The 23,438-nt window shown below is 36.1% G+C and overlaps 1 protein-coding gene across 14 annotated transcripts in view; it reads right to left on the bottom strand.

Annotated features, from left to right (window-relative positions):
* The window catches only part of SYT14 (synaptotagmin 14), a 233,173-nt gene that overhangs the window by 12,415 nt on the left and 197,320 nt on the right, over positions 1 to 23,438 (bottom strand). For all 14 annotated transcript variants that reach the window (NR_027459.3, NM_001397545.1, NM_001256006.3 and 11 more), the window contains one exon: positions 3,065 to 3,254. Coding sequence is in view for 13 of the 14 variants with exons in the window: in NM_001397545.1 (NP_001384474.1) it covers positions 3,065 to 3,254 (190 nt within the window). In the remaining variant the exon portion in view is untranslated. The remainder of the gene's footprint in view (positions 1 to 3,064; positions 3,255 to 23,438) is intronic.

Below are 23,438 nucleotides of genomic sequence, written 5' to 3'. Positions count from 1 at the left end.
CAAAATAGGACTATTGAACTTTTTGCTCTTGAATATTGCTCTTTCTTTGGAAAAATGGGGATTATTCAGTCTATAACATAGTTCAAAGCTTAGAACCTAGGTATATATGAGGGGCTATAATCTTATATAATATATACTATTTAGGACAAACTGATAAAACTGTTTTACCTTTTACTTTATAAATATTTCACTTTCATAAAATTAAATTGACTTATACTTACTTTCTAGTTACCTCCCACCTAACACCATGAATTATCCTTATACTGAAGATCTATCTAATGGTAAAATAATGGCAATTGCTATACCTATTCTGTAACCTGAAACATCGACTCTGTGTTGCGGATGTGAATCTTTTGTCATCTGTTTATTATCCAACCCTGCGCTTGGCCAGACCTCCCTTTTAGTTGTGATCCTTGTTGCTCTGTTTCTATCAGAGTGACTACAGTAAGGATAGAAAGGCAAACATATCATTTCATTCTATTTTTTAGCATCTCCAGCTAAATATTTGTCAAAAAAATGTAGTAAATTATTAGCTAAAGCATGAGTGGCAAACTGATAACTGGGGGCTCAATGTGACCCTAAACAATGTTCTATTTATCCAACACAGTGCTAACAATCTGTGAATCTGAAAGTCTTCTGGCAGGGTGTGCACTCTTATGTTTGTCACAGGCCTCACCATCTCCCCAACTTTCACCTATGAGTTTTACTCATTTCAGTTATCCCCCAGGCCTTTTGAGTTTGCATTCTAAGTCTATACTAATGAAGATGATCAAGTCACACTACCAAATCTGTTTATTCTAGAAATTGCTTCTTTTCTCCCACTCAATTTCTCCTTCTGAAATGAGAAAGGGAACAATAATAATTCCATCCTTCTTTTATGCACCTTTATCTGATTTGAGTCTCACACTTGCCCTGTGAGAGACATGACCTTAATTTTACCTATAAAGAAACAGACTTAGGGGAGTGAGGTCAACTGTCCAAGGGTAGAAATATGAATTTAAGCCTTCAGACTTTTAAGTCAGGGATAGACACCTTCTGTGATACATGTAAGAAGCAAGCTTTCCAATGTTATTTGGGGCAAACCCAATATATTATAGTAACTTTTTACTTCCATTGAATAAATAATTTTTACGACAACTAGAAAGAGTTAAATTCAAGGATAAAAAAGTTACCCCTCCTTTATTTTTTAATTTTAATTAATAAATATTATTATTTATTTTTATTTTTATTTTTTTAGATGGAGCCTTGCTCTGCCACCAGGCTGGAGTGCAGTGGCGCAATCTCAGCTCACTGCAACCTCCGCCACCTGGGTTCAAGTGATTCTCTTGCCTCAGCCTCCCAAGTAGCTGGGATTACAGGCACGCGCCACCATGCCCAGTTAATTTTTTGTATTTTAGTAGAGATGGGGTTTCACCATGTTGGCCAAGATGGTCTCGATCTCCTGACCTCGTGATCCACCCGCCTCGGCCTCCTAAAGTGCTGGGATTACAGGCCCTTGTGAGCCACTGCACCTGGCCAATTTTTTTTTTTTTTAAGACAGGGTCTTGCTCTGTCACCCAGGCTGGAGTGCGGTGGTGCAATCTTGGCTCCCTGCAGCCTTGATCTCCCTGGCTCAAGCGATCCTTCCACCTCACCCTCCTGAGTAGCTGGCACTACAGTCTCAAGCCACCATGCCTGACTAATTTTTAAATTTTTTGTAGAGTCAGGGTCTCACTTTGTTGCCCAGGCTGGTCTTGAAATCCTGGGATCAAGTGATCCTCCCGCCTCAGCCTCCTAAAGTGCTGGAATTACAGGCATGAGGTACTGCGCCTGGACCCCCTCCTATAATAATTACTTGCTTCTTGGAATAAAACATGGCATTAAGTAAGTCTGTGAGAATTCTTTAAGAAAATTTAAAGTGGCATTATTATTTCAGATTTCGTTTCAAATTTTTAGTTTACGGCATTAACAGCTTTAATTTTAGGTAAGTATAAAGAAGCTGGGCCAGGCGCAGTGGCTCACGCCTGTAATCCCAGCACTTTGGGAGGCCGAAGTGGATGGATCACCTGAGGTCAGGAGCTTGCGACCAGCTTGATCAACATGGTGAAAACCCACCTCTACTAAAAATACAAAATAATAGCTAGGTGTGGTGGTGGGTGCCTGTAGTCCCAGCTACTCAGGAGGCTGAGGCAGGAGGATCACTTGAACCTGGAGGCGGAGGTTTCAGTGAGCCGAGATCATGCTATTGCACTCCAGCCTAGGCGATAAGAACAAAACTGTCTCCAAAAAAAAAAAAAAAAAAAAAAAAAAAAGAAGCTGCCACTTTCCCAGTTTACCTCTTTTAGGTACCAACATTTTAGAGGTATATTGGGTGACAATTTCAATATCCTCCCATAACCTACCCTGGCCTTGTTGAACTGGGAGAGAGATCCAGAGAGAGAAGAGTAACAGACATAACACGCATATAGTCAGGGCAGAGGTATGCTATCTAGCTTTCCCTTCTTAGCATCCAGGGTAAACAGCAAACTGTTCCTTATTCTGTTTGTCCTGGTAAGAGCAAAGCCCATTCCATCTAAGAAAAGTCTCTGCTGGCAGTACTGGCTTATAATTTTAAAGAAGAAAAAAAAAAGTGAAGTAATAGTTTCTTCTTAAATCGTTAAGGGAGAAAGAAGGAAAATATAGAAGTAAATAAAATAGTTCATAGTACTGCATGCAGATACAAAACACATTACTCTTCAGTTAACAACAATAGCTATATACATTCCTGTTCATATTTGTGAACATTACTCACTTTTAAAGGCCCTGTAACCTTTTCTGGCATTAAAAGATAATGGCTATGATAGAGATAATTTATTTTGCAGATACTATGAAAAATTAAAAGTTGTCACCTTACTATGAATACTTTGAATTTCAAATTTTTCTACTTCCCAAATGACTGGAAATAGAAAACATGAAACAGATTAGCTGATGATTACACCATTTCATTTTGATTGGTTAAGACTAAATGATAGGATTGAACTCCCTAATACTGAGAGTCCCAAAAGTGCAGAAAACATTAGAATTAAAAAAATTATTTTTCACTCACTGGGTGGTCTGTTTGCTGCCAAATTTTTGAAGTGGCTGCCTTTTATCACTTCTGCTGATAGTCTTCCAGTTGTGGCATTATAAAGCAGGCCAATAAGAATTTCTGGAACTGAGCCATGTTCAAGAGACTGACATGAGGATGTACTTTCACTACACGACATTTCTGACACGCTCATTTGGGAGTCACAGCCCTGTAATCAATAATAACATTTTTATAGTATTTTGCAAGAGAGATATATTAAGAGATATATTGTTATGCCATGTTTATTTGGATTAGGTAGGTAAATCACAATAAAGATGAGTTGCAAACCAAACACCAGATTAGAATTATTGTCCTTAGCATATTTTAGCCCCTGGATTTCTTTTCATTATGTAAAAGCCAAAGAAGTAATAGGAAATGAGAAGATTTCATAAATCCCTGCATATTTATAAGGAAATAAGAGCAATGTTGCTTAAACTTATAGATGCTAATAAACTGTTTTTTGAATATGAGAAATTATTGTTTAAAGATTATCAACCTTAAAAGACTGACAAAGATTTAGACTCAATACATCAAATGTCCTAACTGTGCCTTTAAATAAACAAAACAAAACTACCTGCTATTTATAAGCCAACATCTAAAACACAGAGATATAGAAAAGTTGAAAAACATGGGAAAAATTAATCATGTAAAAAATAATCAAACAAATTGATGTAGTTACATTAGTATCAGTCAGGGTTGGCTTTAAGGCAATAATCACCACTAGAGATTGAAGAAGTATACAAAATGATGATAAAACATTGAAATTACTAAAAACTAAAATAATCCCAAATTTGGATGCATTTAATAACATGGACTCAAAATACAGAAAGCAAAAATGGCCAGAACTAGAAAGAGAAACACAGACATCCATAATCACTGGGTACATAAGCACACTTCCCTCATTAACTGACCAAATTCAGTAACTGACCAAATGGGTGGACAAATAAGTACCATAAGGATGTAGAAGACTTGAATATCACAATAAGCAAAATTGACCTAATGGTCATATGCAGAATATTATACCTAATAACTACAAAATATAATTTTCCCAAGTACACAGAATTTTTAAATTAAAGCAAATAATAATTTCAAATGATGAAAATTATTCATAATGTTTTTTGATTGATTAGAAAACCAAACTCTGTTCTAGAGGAGAATAAAATATCTATATTTTTTGGAAATTAAAGGTATACTTTTAGTAACCCATAGGTAACTAAATGATAATAAAAATAAGTGATTTGAAAGACTAATAAAATGAATAAATTTCTGGAGAGTCCAATTAAGAAAAAAGGGACGAATAACAATGATCAGGAATGAAAAAGGAGACATCACTACATATTCTAGAGACCATGAAAAAATAATAGGATAGGATACTAGAAGAAAGTTGTTTCTTCTAGTAAATTTGAAATTTGAATGAAATATACCAGCGATCTCCAACCTTTTTGGCACCAGCGACCAGTTTCCTGGAAGACAATTTTTCCATGGACAGGATGTAGAGGGTAATCTAATGCTGCCACTGATCTGACAGGAGGCCGAGCTCAGGCTGTAATGTTCGCTAGCCCACTGCTGCTCACCTCCTGCTGTGCGGCGCCCATTCCTAACAGGCCATGGACTGGTACTGGTCTGTGGCCGGGGGGTTGGAGACCTCTGAAATAGACATCTTTCTAGAAAGTTATTACCAACCAGAAGAGATGCTGGAAGACTGTTCAGAAACAGTCTTACTAAAGAAATTGAATTTGTAATTAAAAGCCTTTCCAAAATACACATACAAAACAAAAATAAGAAACTTTGGCCTAGATGGCTTCACTAGTGAATTCTAATTAATAATGCTAGTTTTACACAAACTCTTTCAGATATTAGAGAAAGAGAAACCACTCCTCAACTTCCTTTAAGAATTTAGCAAAATATTAAAACCAAAATCTAATAAGGGCATTATAAAAAAGAAAAATTACAAGATTTTCTCATTCATGAATCTAGATGAAAAAATCCTAAATATACATCAGCAAACCAAATCTAGCAACATGCAACATCGTACTTAATAGCAAAAAATGTTAATGTTTCCCCTTTGAAATTGCCAACTATTACTACTTTTAGTCAACACTGTAGTGGAGATACCAGCTAGTGAAGATCCTAGCCTTACTAAAGACAATAAAATGAAATAAAAAGTATAATGATTTGGAAGGGGACTAGATTTTTTTAAAAAGCCCTTATGTGCAGATTACATAATTATGTACACAGGAACAAATCTACAGATGAACTGCAGTTGTATACAGAGGTAAAATTTAGAAATCCATACATTACTATATATCAGAAGCAAACAGAAAATAAAATTTATTAAAATATCATTTATTATGGCATTTAAATATAAAATATGTAGGAATAAATGTAACAAATGATATGCAAGGCCTCTATACAGAAAACTATGAACATTATTGGGAGAAACCAAAAAGTACTATATAAACTGTTACTGTATTAGCTCAATTTTGTAACATTCTTTCCAAATTAATCCATAGATTAAATTCAATTCCAATAAAAATATCGGCAGGTTTCTTTGAATTGTTTGACTTCATTAGTAATCAGGGGAATGGAAATGAAAACTATGAGGTAACGCTACACAACAAACAGATGAGCTAAAAGAATACCAAATGTGGTGAGGACAAAGCACTGGGAACTATCATAGTTCTCTTGTAGAAATGTGGAGTGATACCAATGTTTTAAATGTTATAAATACACATACCCTATGATCTGGCAGTTCCACCCCTACATATATACCCATCAGAAATAAGTGCAGTGTTTATCAAGAGACATATGAAAGAATGTCCATAGCAGCATTACTCATATTGGATCCAAGCAATAGAATGGATAGTTTGTACTGAGTTCATACAATGGCATACTATACAGCAATGAAAACCAATTATAACATTTACAAATGTGATTTTAAGTAAAACATGTTGGGCCCAAAAGGATACCAGCTGCATAATTCCATTTATGTAAAGTAAAAAAAACAAACAAAAAAATCAAACAACCCAAAAACCAAAACCTCAAACCAAGCAGAACTAAACCATTATGTTCCCGATGTATTAATAGGTGGTAACATTATAAAGAAAAGCAAAAAAGTAATTCACATAAAGTAAAAATTGTAGTTAACTCTGGAGGTGGGAGAGAAGAACAGTGATTGGGAAGGGCAGGATGGGAGTTTCTGGGGTTAGTGAGACAATGTTTCTTTCATTCCTTGACCTGGATGGTAATTACATGGGTTTTGCTTTGTGATAAATGGGTTGCACACTTGCATTTTTTACCCTTTTCTAATGTGTGTTGGGTTTTGCAAGAAAGAAGATTTAAGAAAAGAATTACATGATGAAAAGACACAGTATACACAAATGAATATACAACGATAAAAATAAATATACAGAACTTTCTTTGAAGATTCCCAAAGAGATCCAATCCATGAATTAAAAAGAAAAGAAAAAAAAGACACTAACAGTATTCCCTATAACAATGTAGTTAAAATTTTTTAAAATGTTTTAAAGAATCCTGGAGTTTAAACCTACTACTGGCTGTAGAAGTAATGAAGGAGAATTAATACATACCTGGAGCCTGAACAAACTTGTTGGACTAATATACAGAAGGGTAAAATCTCCTATTTTTAACTGTAGACTACAGAGTGGAAGCCAAAAGGAATACACATTTTATATTCTTAAGTCATGGGTACACAAAACACATAGTTTGGTATGTTTTCATGACAGTTGGAGAAAACAATTTTAGTAAGTTTCAATTAGGATATATCATCACTTATGAAAATAGTGTCAAAAACATGCTTGAGCACATTTGGTGCATTTGTTACATTAGGCTATAATACTAGCAGCATCTGTTAGAATATTGTGAGATACATTTTTCACAATATAGTATTTTTCACATTAACCTACTGTCAGATAAGATGTGAACCTAATAGTTGTTTATACACAGAAGTCATACTGCCACTTTTGAGAAACAAAGCGATGCCCAAAGAAAGCGATGGAAAGGCCTTTCTCAATCTTAAGGAAAACACTCCCCACTTCACTGCTGTGAAAATCGTTATCTTCAAATCCAAACAAAAAGCAAGAGCATTAAGATCCTTGTTGATCACATTCTATTTTAGTAAGCCCTGCTGAAATATAGTGGTGTTTACATAACACAAGAAACTATTATCTAGAAGAGTTCATTATGAATTTATGCCCTAGAAAAAGTGCTAATCTCATGTCCCTTCCACTGGCATTAGTGTAACTGTCAATTCAATGTTGGTAGAGTTGTGGCAGTCCAAAGAGATCACTCAGTACAAGAAAAGCAGTAAAGAATAGCTATGTAAACAGAACCACTGTAGTTAAAAAAAAAAAAAAGGGGGGGGGCATTCGCCTATAATTTCAGCTACTTGGGAGGCTGACAGAAGAGAACCACTTGACCCCAGGAGTTCTAGAGCAGCCTGGGCAACATAGCGAGATCTGTCTCAAAAACAAACAACCTCAAATTAAATATCGATGCTGTCTGCCCAAATGGCAGCTTTCCTCAGACTACTCCTCAGGGCATGCTGCTCCATTCAGTGTATATTCAGGAATCTCCATCTACTCCCTCTGCAGATCTCATCATTAATTTATAACTGGGGCTTGCCTAGGTAGCAGTAGCTGCAGGTGATTAATGCAAAGTCAAACAAATTCCAATCATAACTAGGTCTACTTAAAAGAACAGTCCCACAGGCTCCCCAAAGTAAAACTTCTTTCCATCTTGCATAATATTTTACTTCTTTTTAATACTTCCCCTCCTTCCCCCTGAGTCTTCTGCCCTAGGGTAAAGGATTACAAGTAATTCTGTGAAAGTAAAGTATATGTAATTTTTAGAGGAATGAATATACTCTATATGTTTACCATAACCAGAATTAGTGGTTAAGGTGGCCATTACATTTACTTAATGGTGTGAATAGGTTAAAATCAGGTGGAAGCTTGTACATACATAGAGAAAAAACAATATGATTAAAAATACAATATAATTCCTATTAACATACTGGGCTTTTTATTAATATTAAATTACTTCCAGCTTACTTGTAACTACTTATGTTCAATATTTTTTAAGGTGAAACTACTGAACTGTACAATGATAATTACTATAATTGAATTATCTATTGAATAGTGTCTGTGCAACTTAATTCTCACTGTGTCTGGAAGATAGCATTCAGTTTTTAATTTTATTTATATGTGAAATGCTTCCATTATACTTTTCTGAAAATGGGGCGATCACAGAGGGTGCTGAAGTTAAAACAAGGGAAGTCACCTGCTGCAAAGTTAGAGCTGCCGCTAATGATGAGCTTCATCTCTAGCAGCAAGGCTCCCTCCTCAGGGTCCTTTCCTAGCCCCAGGGAACTAGGTAAGGAGGAGATCACCAGAGGCAATTTCAGGAGAGAGGAAGAAAGAGCATGATTGCTCCAAATCCCACCTCCTTTCCATCCTCCACACTGTAAGTCTAGCGTAAAGGAGAGCCAGGCTGGGTTTTAGTAGGGTTTGTAAAAATACCGAGTGTATCAAAGGGACAGCCTACTGGAGTGAGCAGTGGCTTTGTACAGTTTGTACACAGGCAGCTTCAGGCACTCATTGATCCAGGCCTCAACCCATGTTACTAGGAACCAGTTCTCCTTTATCCATTTCTCAGGTTTGTTTCCCAAATTTGGCTTCATTCTTTGGCAGACTTTTCCCTCCTAGTTGCCGGCAGCTCTGAGTGTCATGGGAAAGAGGAAGACAGCATCCTACTTGCTCAAACCCAAATCCTGGAACTTGCTGCTTAGAGCCCATGAGATTTAATTCTAGGGCTTTGCAATAAAGTCCGCTTCAGCATAATACAGGGGCAGGTTAGTCTCCCAACCAAAATCTGGGTACTGTGTGCATAAGAAAGATATGAATGCTAGGCAGAAAAAACAGACGTCAACTACAGAGCCCATTCAACTGAGTTGTCTGTCCCTGCTTTCTCCCCCTTGGTCTTCAGTGAGACTGTTATCCACATTACTGGGGAGCAGGTGATGTTGCTGTTGCTCCAATTGTAAGTACCCTCCACAGGCTCTTGCTGTGCAGTTATTAGCCTTGCAGGAGCCAAGGAAGATGAAAAGATGGTTCAATGAAACAGAATCACGATATTACCACACTCATGGAGCACAGCTCTGACATTCAGGTTAGGAAAGGAAGAGCTACAATAGAAGTAGAAAATGATCACTTTTTCTTTCCTAAGCACTACATATTAACACTAAAAATTAACATATCTAAGATTTAAGATAGAAGAAAAATGAATCATAGAACATTCACATAAATAACCATAATAACAAAATATTTTATCAGCGTTTGACCATAGCATCATGTGGAAATGGTCATAAAAATCCCTGCTATGATCCGCCGTGTGCAGTGGCTCATGCCTGTAATCCCAGCACTTTGGGAGGCCAAGGCAGGCAGATCACTTGAGGCCACGAGATTGAGACCAGCCTGGCCAACATGGTGAAACACTGCCTCTACTAAAAATACAAAAATTAGCCAGGTGTGGTGGCAGGCGCCTGTAATCCCAGCTACTCGGGAGGCAGAGGCATGAAAATTGCTTGAACCTGCGAGGTGGAGGTTGCAGTGAGCCGACATCATGCCATTGTACTCCAGCCTGGGTGACAGAGTGAGACTCCATCTCAAAAAAAAAAAAAAAAAAAAAATTCCTGCTATAATCAAAATTTATGTATATGTATGTATATATACATATGCACTTTTTTGCTGTATTCGATATGAACATATTTAATTAGCATTTCTGCCTATACGCTTATAAGTGAGATTGGTTTATAAAGTTTATAAGTTTCTTTTCTCATGGTCTCCTGAAATAATACCTATTTGAAGAATATATATGTATAAATATAGGCATATGTGTATATTTTTTGCTGAATTATTTTAAAATGCTTAATTTAGGGTTTCTGCATATATGTTTATAAATGAGATTGGTTTATAATTTTCTCATGTTATTCTTGTCTAGTTGGTGTCAAAATTATATAAGCCTCGAAAGAGAAGTTAGGTACCTTTCCTTTTCATTCTCTGAAATAGCTTATGTAACATAGAAGTTACTTGTTCACTGAAGTTGGGTAAAACTTGCTTCTGAAAGTCGACCATCTTTTTTTCCTCTTTCTTTCTTTTAAGGGGACTCTGGCTACTGGCTGAATTTCTTTAATGATAATCACTCTTTTCATGTTTTCTACTACTCTTAAATCACTTTTTAGACATTTGTATGTTTCAAGAAAATTGTACATTTTGTTTTCAAATTTATTTTCCTAGAGTCATTCTCTTATAATTTTGAGACCTCCACTGAATTGGTGGTTATGTCCTTTTTTTTTTTTTTTGAGACGGAGTTTTGCTCTGTCGCCCAGGCTGGAGTGCAGTGGCGCGATCTCGGCTCACCGCAAGCTCCGCCTCCCGGGTTCACACCATTCTCCTGCCTCAGCCTCCTGCATAGCTGAGACTACAGGCGCCCGCCACCACGCCCGGCTAATTTTTTTGTATTTTTAGTAGAGACGGGGTTTCACCGTGTTAGCCAGGATGGTCTTGATCTCCTGACCTCGTGATCCGCCCACCTCGGCCTCCCAAAGTGCTGGGATTACAGGCATGAGCCACCGCGCCTGGCCTAGATATTTCCTTATAATACTGATAGGGGCTGAAATCCACAAATTTAGGTATTTTCATTTGTGTTTGTGCGTAAGTATTTCCAATTTTAATTATGCTTTATTCTCTGGCACTGAGTTGACTTACGAAGTTTTTTTTGTTTGTGTGAGTATTGAGTATTGAAAAATATAGATTTTGGTGGGTTGGAGTGAGAGGGCTGCCTCTTTTACTTTACCTCCTACTACTTTACTCCTCAATCATGGAGTTCTAGCTAAATGCACTTCCTTGCTACTCCCTGAACACAACACACGCACTCTGGGCTCAGGATGGGCTGCTCCATCCGCTTGCAGTGTTCTTTCCTCAGATTTTTACATGGTTAACTCCCTCACCTCTTTCAAGTCTTTGCTCATATGTCACATTCCCAATGAGCCTTATACCTTGACCCTTATTTAATAGTACACCTCCTTTCTCACTAGCACTCTTAATTCTGCTTACCCTGTTTTTCCCTCCACCCCACAGTACTTATCTCTTTCTCACATACCCTATACTTATTGTATTATGTTTATCTCTCTCTTCTTTACCTAGAATTAAGTTTCATGCAAGCCAAAATTTATATCTGTTTTTCATTAATGTATACTGAATACTTAGAACAATGTCTAGCATGTAGTATGTTACACTACTGCACTGCCTTCTGGCCTTTGTTGTAGCTGTTGAGAAGTCTGCTGTTGGTCAAATTGTTGTTCCCTTATATATTCTCTGGTTGCTTTTATCATTTTGTCTGGTATTTTATCCTTTCACTGTAATTTTTATGGGTGTGGACTCAGTTTTAATAATCCTGTTTAAAACTTCTAATTTCTCAATCTGATGATCTATGTATTTTAAATATTATCTTTCATTTTCTCTAGTCTCACATTCTGGAGTCCTTATTGGAAAATATGCTTAACATTCTTATTCCACTCTCCAAAACTTTTTCATATTTTTCATTGACTGTATTTTTAATGACTTTTTCATTCTAGAAGTTCAATATGGCCCTTATTTAAATCAGCCTCTTTTCCCACATTGTCTTATTCTTTTTTTTTGTAGTTTCTATTACTTCTTTTATTTCTTTATTCTATTAAAGCATATTTATTTTATAATGTCTTTCACAGAGCCCTATTAGTTCTAGAGCTGCCAACACATCTTTCTCTTGCATCTACTGTCATTCATGGTGGACCAATTCTTCCTGCTCATACTTTTTAAAATGTGAGTTCATCTTCAATGGAAATTATTTTTTTCTGTGGGAATTGTATAGCCTAAGTTTGGCTTCCTGAACAAAATAGGATTTCTTTTAAGGAAAGAAGTAGTGGAGATGGTCTCGATCTCCTGAGACCATATATACTACATACATATAGTATATATGTAGTACATACATACATATAGTATGCATGTAGTATATATATGTAGTATATATTACATACATATAGTATGTATGTAGTATATATGTAGTATATATAACATATAGTATGTAGTATACATATACTACGTATGTACATCATATATACACATATAGACCATATATACTACATATAGTATATATGTAGTATATACATACTTCCTTGATTTCTTACTAGTCTATCACATTTCTGAAAATTTCAAAAACCTTCTTTCTCTGAGATATCCGAGTCACTGCTCACATATATTGAGTTGCTAAATAGTAAAGACTCTGTATCCCAGAAATGCTCTCACATTTACACCTGGGGCAGAAAACCAACAGTATCCATTATACTGTAGTACCTAATACACTGTTTACATTTTGTTTAACAGTTTTTAGAAACATTCATATTCATTTTATAATCCTAATTCATTTTATTTGTGACCAGACTTCAGGCCAGTTGCAAAAATAATAAATAGGCCATATACTGTTTTTTCTTTTTTTTTGAGACCGAGTCTCACTCTGTTGCCCAGGCTGGAGCGCAGTGGCGTGATCTCACTGCAACTTCTGCCTCCTGGGTTCAAGTGATTCTCATGCCTCAGCCTTCCAAGTGGCTGGGACTACAGGCATGAGCCAACACGCCCGGTTAATTTTTGTATTTTTAGTAGAGATGGGGTTTCACCATGTTGGCCAGGCTGGTCTTGAACTCCTGACCTCAGGTGACCTGCCCACCTCAGCCTCCCAAAGTGCTGGGATTACAGATGTGAGCCACCATGCCGGGCCATACTGTTTTTATCTTACTGAAGGAAACAGAATAGACTAGAAATAAAGTTGTTATTTAGAGACTCAGCAGTAGAAAAGTATATTCAATGTCTGTTCAGCACAAGCACTGTACTAGGGAATAGATGAACTGATTTCAAGGCAGACTATGATAAACTGCCTTTAGAGATTTTATGGGAGAAAATATGTGGATATGATTAACTCTGGTAACAGAAACAATATTCTGGAGATACCTGAAGTTGGTCCTAATAGTATTTCAGCAGGCATAGGGAAGGGCATTTCACACAAAGAAAGTATGAGCTAAGCCCCCAAAAGTGGGTATCACGTTTGGTAAATGTAAACTGGTCTGGAGTGGCATGTGTATATGGGGAGGGGGTGGAAAATGCAGATGGAAAGGAAGATTGAAGCCAAATTTTACTCATCCAGCACTATATGAATATTTCTATTAGAGACTTTCTGTCCTGTAACTGTTGCTTTGTCTGTCTTTCCCACTAGACTGTGAGTCCCTTCAGGGCAGAACTTTTGTTTTATTCATCTTTGTATGTCCTCAAATTAGTACAGTGCCTATCATTCAGCAGGCACTTAATAAATATTGCTGAATGAAAATAATAAATCATGAAAGACATGAAATGCGGTGGTAAGAAAAGTTGGACCTACTCTACAAGTAATGGAAGCAAGAGAGGCATTTTGAACTGGGGAGTAACATGCTCAGATATACATCTTCAAAAAATAAGGCCAAATATGCTGCATGACTGAGTGCTTGAGCAGGGATCACAACTTACTTAGCTGTGCTAGTGATAGATAAGTCTTTACTTGAGATAATACTTGCTTTGTGCACATTTTATATCCTGAGCAAAAAATTGCAATTTTTTACCCTGTAGCAAAACATAGACTTAAAAATGTTTTATTATAATCAATCTTACTGATCTAGACACGTTATAGTTGTAGTAATCATGTAAGATTTTTCTAACCTACAGACCTTTAGCGCATACTAAGAACTACACATTGTGCTTCAAAATTAATGTAGCTGACTTCCTTGATTTCTTACTAGTCTATCACATTTCTGAAAATTTCAAAAAGCTTCTTTCTCTGAGATATCTGAGTCACTGCTGACACATATTGGGTTGCTAAAGACTCCGTATCCCAGAAATGCTCTCACATTTACACCTGGGGGAAGTGTGAGCTTTTTAAATTGGTCACTCAGCATATAGAGTGTTAGAATCAGTTATTCCTACACAAGTTGATATATCCAATTATGTTATATGTTCCCTTTAATGAATTTGTTTTAAATGAGATGATTTGAATCTGTTTTTAATATAAATGTTTTTATTATTAGAAAACTAAATAGAAATAAATTAAATTATTAATATAACAGCCCCAAATGATTTCTAAGTGTCTTCCATGTTTTGGATTATAATTATCCATAGACTATTGGTTTTCCAACAGTGGTTAGTGAAATCTATTGAATTTCATTTTAAAAATATAATTTTAACTATTTAAAAATTAAAATAAGAACAATACGAGTATATAAATGAGTAATATAATAGAGGCAATATAGTGTACTCGTAAGGAAAGGAAACTTTGCAGTCAGATTTACGGGGGTCTGTTACAGGACCGTGACTTTAGTAAGGTATTTAGCATCTCCATACTTCAGTTATCTAAAAAAGGTGAAATAACTATGTCTACTTCCTTAATAGTTATATCACTTGTTAATATATTAGGGAACACATTGTATTGCAAATAAATTTAATGTATTATTATTTGTATCTTGGACTAAAGATTTACCTGTCATTTCTGTTTAATTGAGAATATTTGAAGTTTAAAGAGCAAGCTGTCAAAGTTATCATTTGTAACTCCTTATCTATATGAATCAGAGTTTTCTCTAAAATGTATAATTAAAACAAAAGAAATACATTGCACTGGATTTCAGAGCTGCAGCAAGATGAAAACGTATTAGCAGCAATTGCATAACTGTAGGTGCCTGTGCTTTGGAGTAAGACAGTTGAGTTTATGAATAAGCTCTAACTTTTTGCCATCTGCGTGACCTTGGACATGTTTTAAAAGTTCCTTGAGACTCAATTTCCTCATCTATAAAAATAATATAGTAACAGTACCCTCTAGAAAATTTTATTCTCAATTTTTTGTTCATCAAAACAACCCTATCATTTTCAGTATTAACAGATGTTACAAGTAAATATTATAAAATAAGATTTGTTAGTAAAATATCACTTTTCTCTGCCTTACTTTTTTGAGTTATAAATAATATTTCATTTGAAATAAAGGGTCTGAATGCTTGAAAAGCTTGAAAAGCCATGAACTACACTATCTTTATATCTTATTTCTGAATGGTCATTCAAATGACCACATTTTATACATTGTAAGACTGTGCTGCCCCCTGCCGACCCAGTTTCTCCAAAATATTTTGAGTCTTCACTTAAGTCAAAACTTACAGTATTACACTTAAGTAACTCTCTAGTAGTCTGGTGGACAGTAATAATATAGATGGTAAAATATTGAATATAGCGCTAAATAATATATGACATTTTTCAAGATATTAAAATATAAACAAACGGGAGCAAATGAATATAATATACTCCCAACTGTGTAATATTTAACAAATTTAGATATCCAATTCCAAGTAACTATTGTAATTGCTATTGTTTACAGTGCTGCTGACACATGGTGAAAAATTAGCAAAATATAGACATTTCTGGCTAAGATTAAATATTCAGTAATTATTTCCCTGATTCTTTCACCGAATTAATAGCAACTTGATCTTTATTTCCCTACATTAGAATGGCACTTGTTTTTTGGCTAGCTGCAATGTTTTAAAATTACACTTCTAATGCATTACCTTTTCCAACTTTTGGGCATCTTCTCTTTTTTAATCTCACATGACCAACCAGATATACACTGGTGATTTTTCCTCCGGATAGTATCTCAAAATAGGCTCTTCCTTACTACTAAAACTCCTCTAATAGAGTGTTATTATCTAATAGTGCAAAAAGTACTTGACAAATCAAAAGAGCTAGGAGTAGTTCTACCTGTTGCTAGCCCTAAGCCTGGGAAGTAATTGATCTACTGAAAGTCTCATTTTTCTCCGTTATAAAACAGAGATTCATGTTCATGTCCTCTCAAGTGATAAGATTACGTGAGCTAACACATAAGTGTTTTAAAAATAGATCACTATATTTCCATAATGCAATTTCATCTTAGTTATCTTTTCCCCATTCTGATGCTTCTTCTACACTATTATCTGTGTAGTCTGCCGTGAATGCAAACAGTGGGAAATGGGGGAGGAAGGGGTGCAGAGAGCAGGCACAGGAGAGGTCTCCTATGCTCAATCAGGTCATCCTCCATGTCAGCTCAATCTGTTACTTACTTTTAAATCTTTGAACTTTTGGCCTTGTATCTTTTTTCTGGTAACGTTCTTAGTTTTCCTTAACTGAATGGCCATTTTGGATCAGCTCATCACACTACAGTTCACCAATCTCCATGCCAGCATATGGACATCAGACACTGGTAAACTAGACTTCCATACACCTGGCTTTGGTGGGGACACACCTCTACTCAAACACCCTTACAGGCAGAATGGTGAAGTAAGGACCTCTGAAAGTCTGCTCCTCTATAAAAGCAACATGAACACTGGCAAACATTGTCAAAAAAAACTTTTTCAGAACTCTGAACTAACTAAAGGCCTGCAACACTCCAAGGAGTGTTTATTCAAGAAAAATGGCTCAATACTGTGAGAACTACCAAGGTTTGTGGCATTTTAAATATACCCTATTCCCATTACCCTCTCCCCAGTTCCCTGGTAGTGTTGAAAGCCAACACTTGCAACTGTGAAATCCAACAGCCTCATAGATGCTGGAGGGGGGAAGAATGGGTTTGGAGTGCCCAGGAGCCCCATCTTCAGAGAAATGACATTACTTCACTTGTCTCACAGTTCTGTGAAAAGTTCCATTCTCAGGCTTTGTTTTGATTTTACTTGACTCAGATTGATAAGAACTATATCCTTAGAACATCTGTTGGAAACAATCAGTGGCAAGTGTTTAACATGGCAGTCACCAAAGAAGCAGTACTGGCTCTGGCCAATGAAAAAATAAGAGCAAAATCTAGGGAATGAGATGTTAATAGGGATCTCTGAAAAGTTCTAAGGCATTTCTGGAAATCTAGCAGTCTACACACATGTGCAAAGCTATGTGCATGCCCAGAAAAAACTTGAGAAGGTCCTAGTCTCTTACCTCTAGCTGATCTTGCTGCTCTGTGCATGCAGAAAGTGAAAGTTAAGGCACAGTTGTAAACTGACTCTTGGAGCATTGAAAGCATGGCTCAATATACACAGAACCCCTCAGCAAAGACTTAATGAAATCTCTGTCCAGTTGTTAGCTGAGCTGACCACTAATGTTAACTGAGATGCACATGACAATAATATAGACTTTACAAAAACCAAGAAAGTCATCAAAGAGGAATGACAACAACAAACAGCAACAATAAACTATGGGGGCGACTAGTCTAGGAGAATGTCTTTGTCAAGGCATTCAGATTGGAAGTGAAGAATCAGAACTACCTCTATTCACAGATGACATGATCTCCTATGCAGTAAATCCTAAAATGCACATGAAGAAAATAACTACTAGAACTAATGAATATGCTCAGCAAAGCTTCAGGATTTGTGATCAATATATGAAAATCAATTTTATCTCTTTACACTAGCAATGAACAATTAGAAAACAAAAAATTAAGAAAACAATTCCATTCACAATAGCCTCAATATGAATAGAATACTTAGGAATGTATTTAACAAAACTGTAAAATTTGTATTACACGAAAGTTACAAGACACTTTTGAAAGAAATCAAAGAAGTCCTAAATAAATGAAAAGACATCTCATGCTAATGGACTGGAAGACTTAAATTGTTAAGACAGTAATGTAGCCCAAAGTACGGATCAAACAGATTTGATGCGATCCCTATCAAAATTGCTATGGCCTTCTTTTTTTTTTTTTTTTTTGCAGAAACAAAGAAGTCAATCCTAAAATTTAAGTGTCCTAAAATTCATATGTAAGTGCAAGGGACCCAGAATAGCCAAGACAATCTTGAAAAACAATAACAAGGTTGGAGGACTCACACTTCCCAATTTTAAAACTGATTATAAAGCTTCAATAATCAAGAAAGTGTGGTACTGGCAGAAGGATAGACAAATAGATTAACGAACTATAATTGACAGTTCAGAAATAAAAACTTACATTTATGGGCAATTCATTTTCAACAAGGGTGCCAACACAAATAAATGAAAAAAAGATTTTTTTTCAACAAATTGTTGGGACAACTGGATATCCACATGTAAAAGAATTAATTTGGACCTCTCCCTCACACCGTATTAAAAAATCAACTCAAATGGATCATAGTCCTAAATTTAAGAGCTAAAACCATAAAACTACTAGAAGAAAACATAGTAGTAAATCTTTATCTTATATTAGGCAATGGTTTCATAGATAAGACACTAACAACACAAGCAACAGAAGGAAAAAATCAATAAACTGAATTTCTCAAAATTAAAAACCTTGTGCTTCATAGAACATCATCAAGTAAAAAGAAAAGCAGAATAGGAGGAAATATTATCAAATCACTTATCTTATAAGGGACCGATTTCCTGAATATGTAAAGAACTCTTACAGCTCAAAAATAAAGAGACAAAGGCAAAGGATTTTAATAGAAATTTATCCAAAGGCAAAATTTATCCAAATTTATCCAAAGGCAAAAAAATAGGCAAAGGATTTTAATAGAAATTTATCCAAAGAAGATACACGAATGGTCAATAAGCACATGAAAAGATGCTCAACATCATTAGTCATTAGGGAAATACAAATCAAAACCATAATAAGATACCACTTTATACCCAGTAGGATAGCTTACATAAAAAGACAGATAATAACAAGTGTTGAAGAGAATGTGGAGAAACTGAAACTCTCATACATTGCTGGTGGGACAGTAAAATGGTGCACCTACTTTGAAAAACTGTTTGGCAGTTCCCAGAAATGTTAAGAATAAATACAGCTCTAGAACTGGACATATACTCAAGAGAAATGAAACTATATGTCTACACAACAACTTGTACACAAATGTTCATAGCAGCATTATTCATAAAAGCCAATGGAAACAACCCAAATGTCAATGAATGAAAAGATGAACAAAATGTGGTATATCCATACAAAGAATATTATTAAGTCCCCAAAAAACAATGAAGTATGGATACATGATAAAACATGAATGAGCCTTGAAAACATCATGCTAAGTAAAAGTCATCAAACACAAAAGGCCACATATTGTATGATTTGATTCATATAAAATGTGCAGAAGAGGCAAAACCATAGAGACAAAAAATAGGTTAGTGGTTGCCAGGAGGTGTAATTGCTAATGGCTACAGAGTTTTCGTGGCGGGGATAATAAAAATATTGTGAAATTAAATCATGGTGATGGCTGCACAACTATGTGAATATTCTAAAAATCATGACTTTTACACTATAAAAGGGTGAATTTTATGATCTGTGAATCATGTCTCAATAGTTATGAAAAATTACTTACAGGATCCCTATTTCAGAATAATACAATCTTAGAAAGAATCTCAAAGATAATTTAATCCAGTGGTTTTCAAAAAGTTGTAGTAAAAGTACCCTTTTGGCTGGGTGTGGTGGCTCACACCTGTAATCCTAGCAGGAGCTGGAGACCAGCCTGGGCAACATGGCAAAACCCCATCTCCACTAAAAATCAAAAAAAAAAAAAAAAAAAAAAGAAAAAAGAAAATTAGCCAGGCCTGGTGGTACACGCATGTAGTCCCAGTTACTTGAGAGGCTGAGGCACGAGAATTGCTTGAACCTGGGAGGTGGAGGTTACAGTGAACTGAGATTACACCACCGCACTCCAGCCTAGGTGACAGAGCAAGACTCTGTCTCAAAAAAAAAAAAAATAAAAGTACTCTTTAAAAAAATAAAATCTTATTCCACGTTCAAATACATGAAACAGGTAAGTATAGCATTGTATTAGTACATTTATTACTGAGCTCAAATTATAACAGGCTATTTCAATAAAAAATGAAATTTGATATTTAGGTTTGTTGGTAACAGTTTAGTCATATATTAACTTTGCATCCAGTGTTTGTGTTTTATTTTATGTATAAAATCAATAAAGAGCTGATAAGTTGTGAATTACCTTGTCTTGCAATGTCAGAATATTAATTCATTGAACTGACCAAGAAAATTGAAAGATAAAGTTAGGGAACATTACAGAAACTTTTTAAGTTAAACCATTACTATAATGATTGCTTATATTTTAAAGAAAACTACCCTGATTTTATGCAAATAATTAAAACTACCTGATTTTTTAAATATAGAAAAAGCAGTGACTGTGATGTATGAATTTAGTATTAATAGAATTTTTTTGGCAGACATATATAGGACTAAATTAAACAATATATAGCAATTAAACAATATATCAACACCAACCTATAGCTATTCCCAAGTCACAATTACAAGAATTTCAAATATATAGAGAGATATGGGAGAAGTGGCTTTATTAGTAAATCTATAGAAGACAAAAAAGTAGATAGTGAGTGATATGGTTTGGCTGTGTCCCCACCCAAATCTCATTTTGAACTGTAGCTCCCATAATCCCCACATGTCATGGGAGGGAACTGGTGCGAGGTAATTGAATCATGGGGGTGGGTTTTTCCTGTGCTGTTCTCTTGATAGTAAATAAGTCTCATGAGATCTGATGGTTTTATAAAGGGCAGTTCCCCTGCACAGGCTCTCTTGCCTGTCGCCATGTAAGATGTGACTTTGCTCCTCATTTGCCTCCACCATGGTTGTGAGACTTCCCCAGTCATGTGGAACTATGAGTCCATTAAACCCTTTTTCTTTATAAATTACCCAGCCTCAGTATGTCTTTATTGGCAGTGTTGAGAATGGACTAATACAGTGAGTTAACATGTAAACAATTTCCAATAGATTAAAATTTAGTACACAGCATGTGTTTATGTTGATTTTTTTTTATTTACCATTTTAAATTATAATTAAAAAAAGAGGCTGGGCGCAGTGGCTCACGCCTGTAATCCCAGCACTTTGGGAGGCTGAGGCGGGTGGATCACGAAGTCAGGAGTTTGAGACCAGCTTGACCAACATGGTGAAACCCCGTCTCTACTAAAAATACAAAAATTAGCTGGGCGTGGTGGCGCATGCCTGTAATTCCATCTACTCAGGAAGCTGAGGCAGGAGAATCACTTGAACCCAGGAGGCGGAGGTTGCAGTGAGGTGAGATTGCGCCACCGCACTCCAGCCTGGGTAACAAGAGCAAAACTCCATTTCAAAAAAAAAAAAAAAAGAAATTTGAAGCAAACATTTCCAGAATCCCAGAGCATTTCTGGAGAACATGGTTCAAATCAACCTACTCTACCTATTTACCTTAGAAATGAAAAAAAAAAATAAGGCCTGGAGAGGTTAATTAAATATCTTTCTGAAAGTTTTAACATATCTAGTTGTTCTGGAGAAAATGGACTAGGACTTAGGATTCTGGACTCTTAATTCGAATGGTCTTTTTACTAAGAAGTCTAAATCCCTTATTCTGTTTTTGAGGATCTTTATAATCTGGCTTCATCCTCATATTCACTTTCATTATTTTTCCCTCTATAATTCACAAGAGTAGTGAGGTCCCCACATTTCTACCAAGGAAGAGTGCCAGTGGGATGGTGATGATTTTTGGTGGGGGTATGGTAACTGCCCATCAAGAATGTGAGCATAGGAGGTGAAGGAGGCTGTGTCCTACGAGTTTACCTTTCAAATCTGGGGCCCACACCTGCCTCCTCTTCAGAGTTCCCGATATTGTTTGGGCCTTCAGAGGGGATTGATACAAATTACAAAATTGGGTAAGTCCCTTCAAATCTGCCCAAACACTGACAGAAATTCATTTGTATAAAATTTTCAAGCATATGTTACCAGGATCCATGAGGCACTCCTGCAGATTGTGGTTCAGTCTGAAGCTCCTGCCATCTGACTGTACCATCTTCTCCCTCTCAGCAATGTTTCAACTGCTAATCATCTAGTGAGGCCTGCTCCTTTAGTGAAGAATTCCACCTGGCTCACAGATTCCCCTGTACCCTAACATCTCTCTGACTTAATGTGACTTAAGGTGAATTAAATTTCCACATGAATGATCCTTCTAACAGTCTGCACACTAAGTTATTTGATTTTCTCATCTCTAATGACTTCTCCCTCCCAGTCTCACTATTATTTATTGGGCCTCGGCACCACCAGAGGCTACGGTGAGGTCTTCGCCAAAGTTACTAAGTAAAACAGGTGCTAACTACACCTCTTTTTTCTAACATAATTTGCCCACTCAACTGCTCTCATAACACCATGCTTTGACTGGACCTTCAGTGCTTGACACTATACTTTTTGTTCATCAGCCCCTTCTTGTCCTTACTTCTTCCTCTATCAAGCTGGCATTCCAAGCTGCCAAAACGCTAACCTTGGAAGAACCAATTAACTCCTTGATTGTACTAGGAAAAGCATCACACAATGGGATGAATTGGAACTTTGGCCATCATCTGGCTATACTTACAATCTAGTTATACTTCTCGGGTAAATTTATTTTTCCATTTCCCCAATTATTATAAATCTTCCATTTTCTAAAATCAGCTGACCCAGTTCCATTCTCCTAAAATCACTGACCCCGTTCCCTTTCTCCTTACTCATTCCTGCCTCCTGCTTCTCTCTCTCTCACATACACATGCACGCATACACACACACCTCTCAATATGTGGAAACTTCCTCAACTTCCTGTGAAAATATCTACAAACTTTCTGACATCTGGATTCTCTCCTTCTTTCTTACCATTGTAAGAGGAGGCATCCCTTGTATTTCAGACCAATTTCTCCACCTGCTGTCTGGATCCTATTTTCTACAGGCTTCTTGTCTCACATCCTAAATATCAGGCTTCAGTGAATTTGTCTCAGCCATATTTAAATATGCTTAAGTCTCACTCATAGTTTAAAAATTCATTTTGAATCCCAAACTACCTATGGCCAAGGAAAGAAGTGCTGGAAGGAATCAAGCAGAACAATCCCCACAACTCACATAGGCCTGAGAATAATTCACATTCTGAACAAAGTGTAGAAAACATAATATATGGGGCACTGAGTTGAGTACTTAGAAGGAAATTGCCTGAGTAGTGGGGTCAAATTAGCCCTAGAATAAACAATGTCTAGTTTTCTATAGCAAAACTTAAAAGCAAGCCTCAAAAGGATCAAAATGTTTTCAAGTTGCCTGATTGCATCCAAGAACAAAGCTCAAAAGTAAGAGAAAACAAAATAATTTAGCACCCAACAATGTATAATCCACAATATCTGGGATCCATTAAAAATTATCAAGCATGAAAAGAAGAAGGAAAATAAAACCCATATTAAGGAAAAAAAGTCAATTGATAAAAACTGATCCAGAAACTAAACAGATGATAGAATTTGTAGACATG

Source organism: Homo sapiens, chromosome 1 (assembly GCF_000001405.40).
Source record: "Homo sapiens chromosome 1, GRCh38.p14 Primary Assembly".
Taxonomy (NCBI): domain Eukaryota; kingdom Metazoa; phylum Chordata; class Mammalia; order Primates; family Hominidae; genus Homo; species Homo sapiens.
This window is presented reverse-complemented; position numbering and strand designations above follow the sequence as displayed.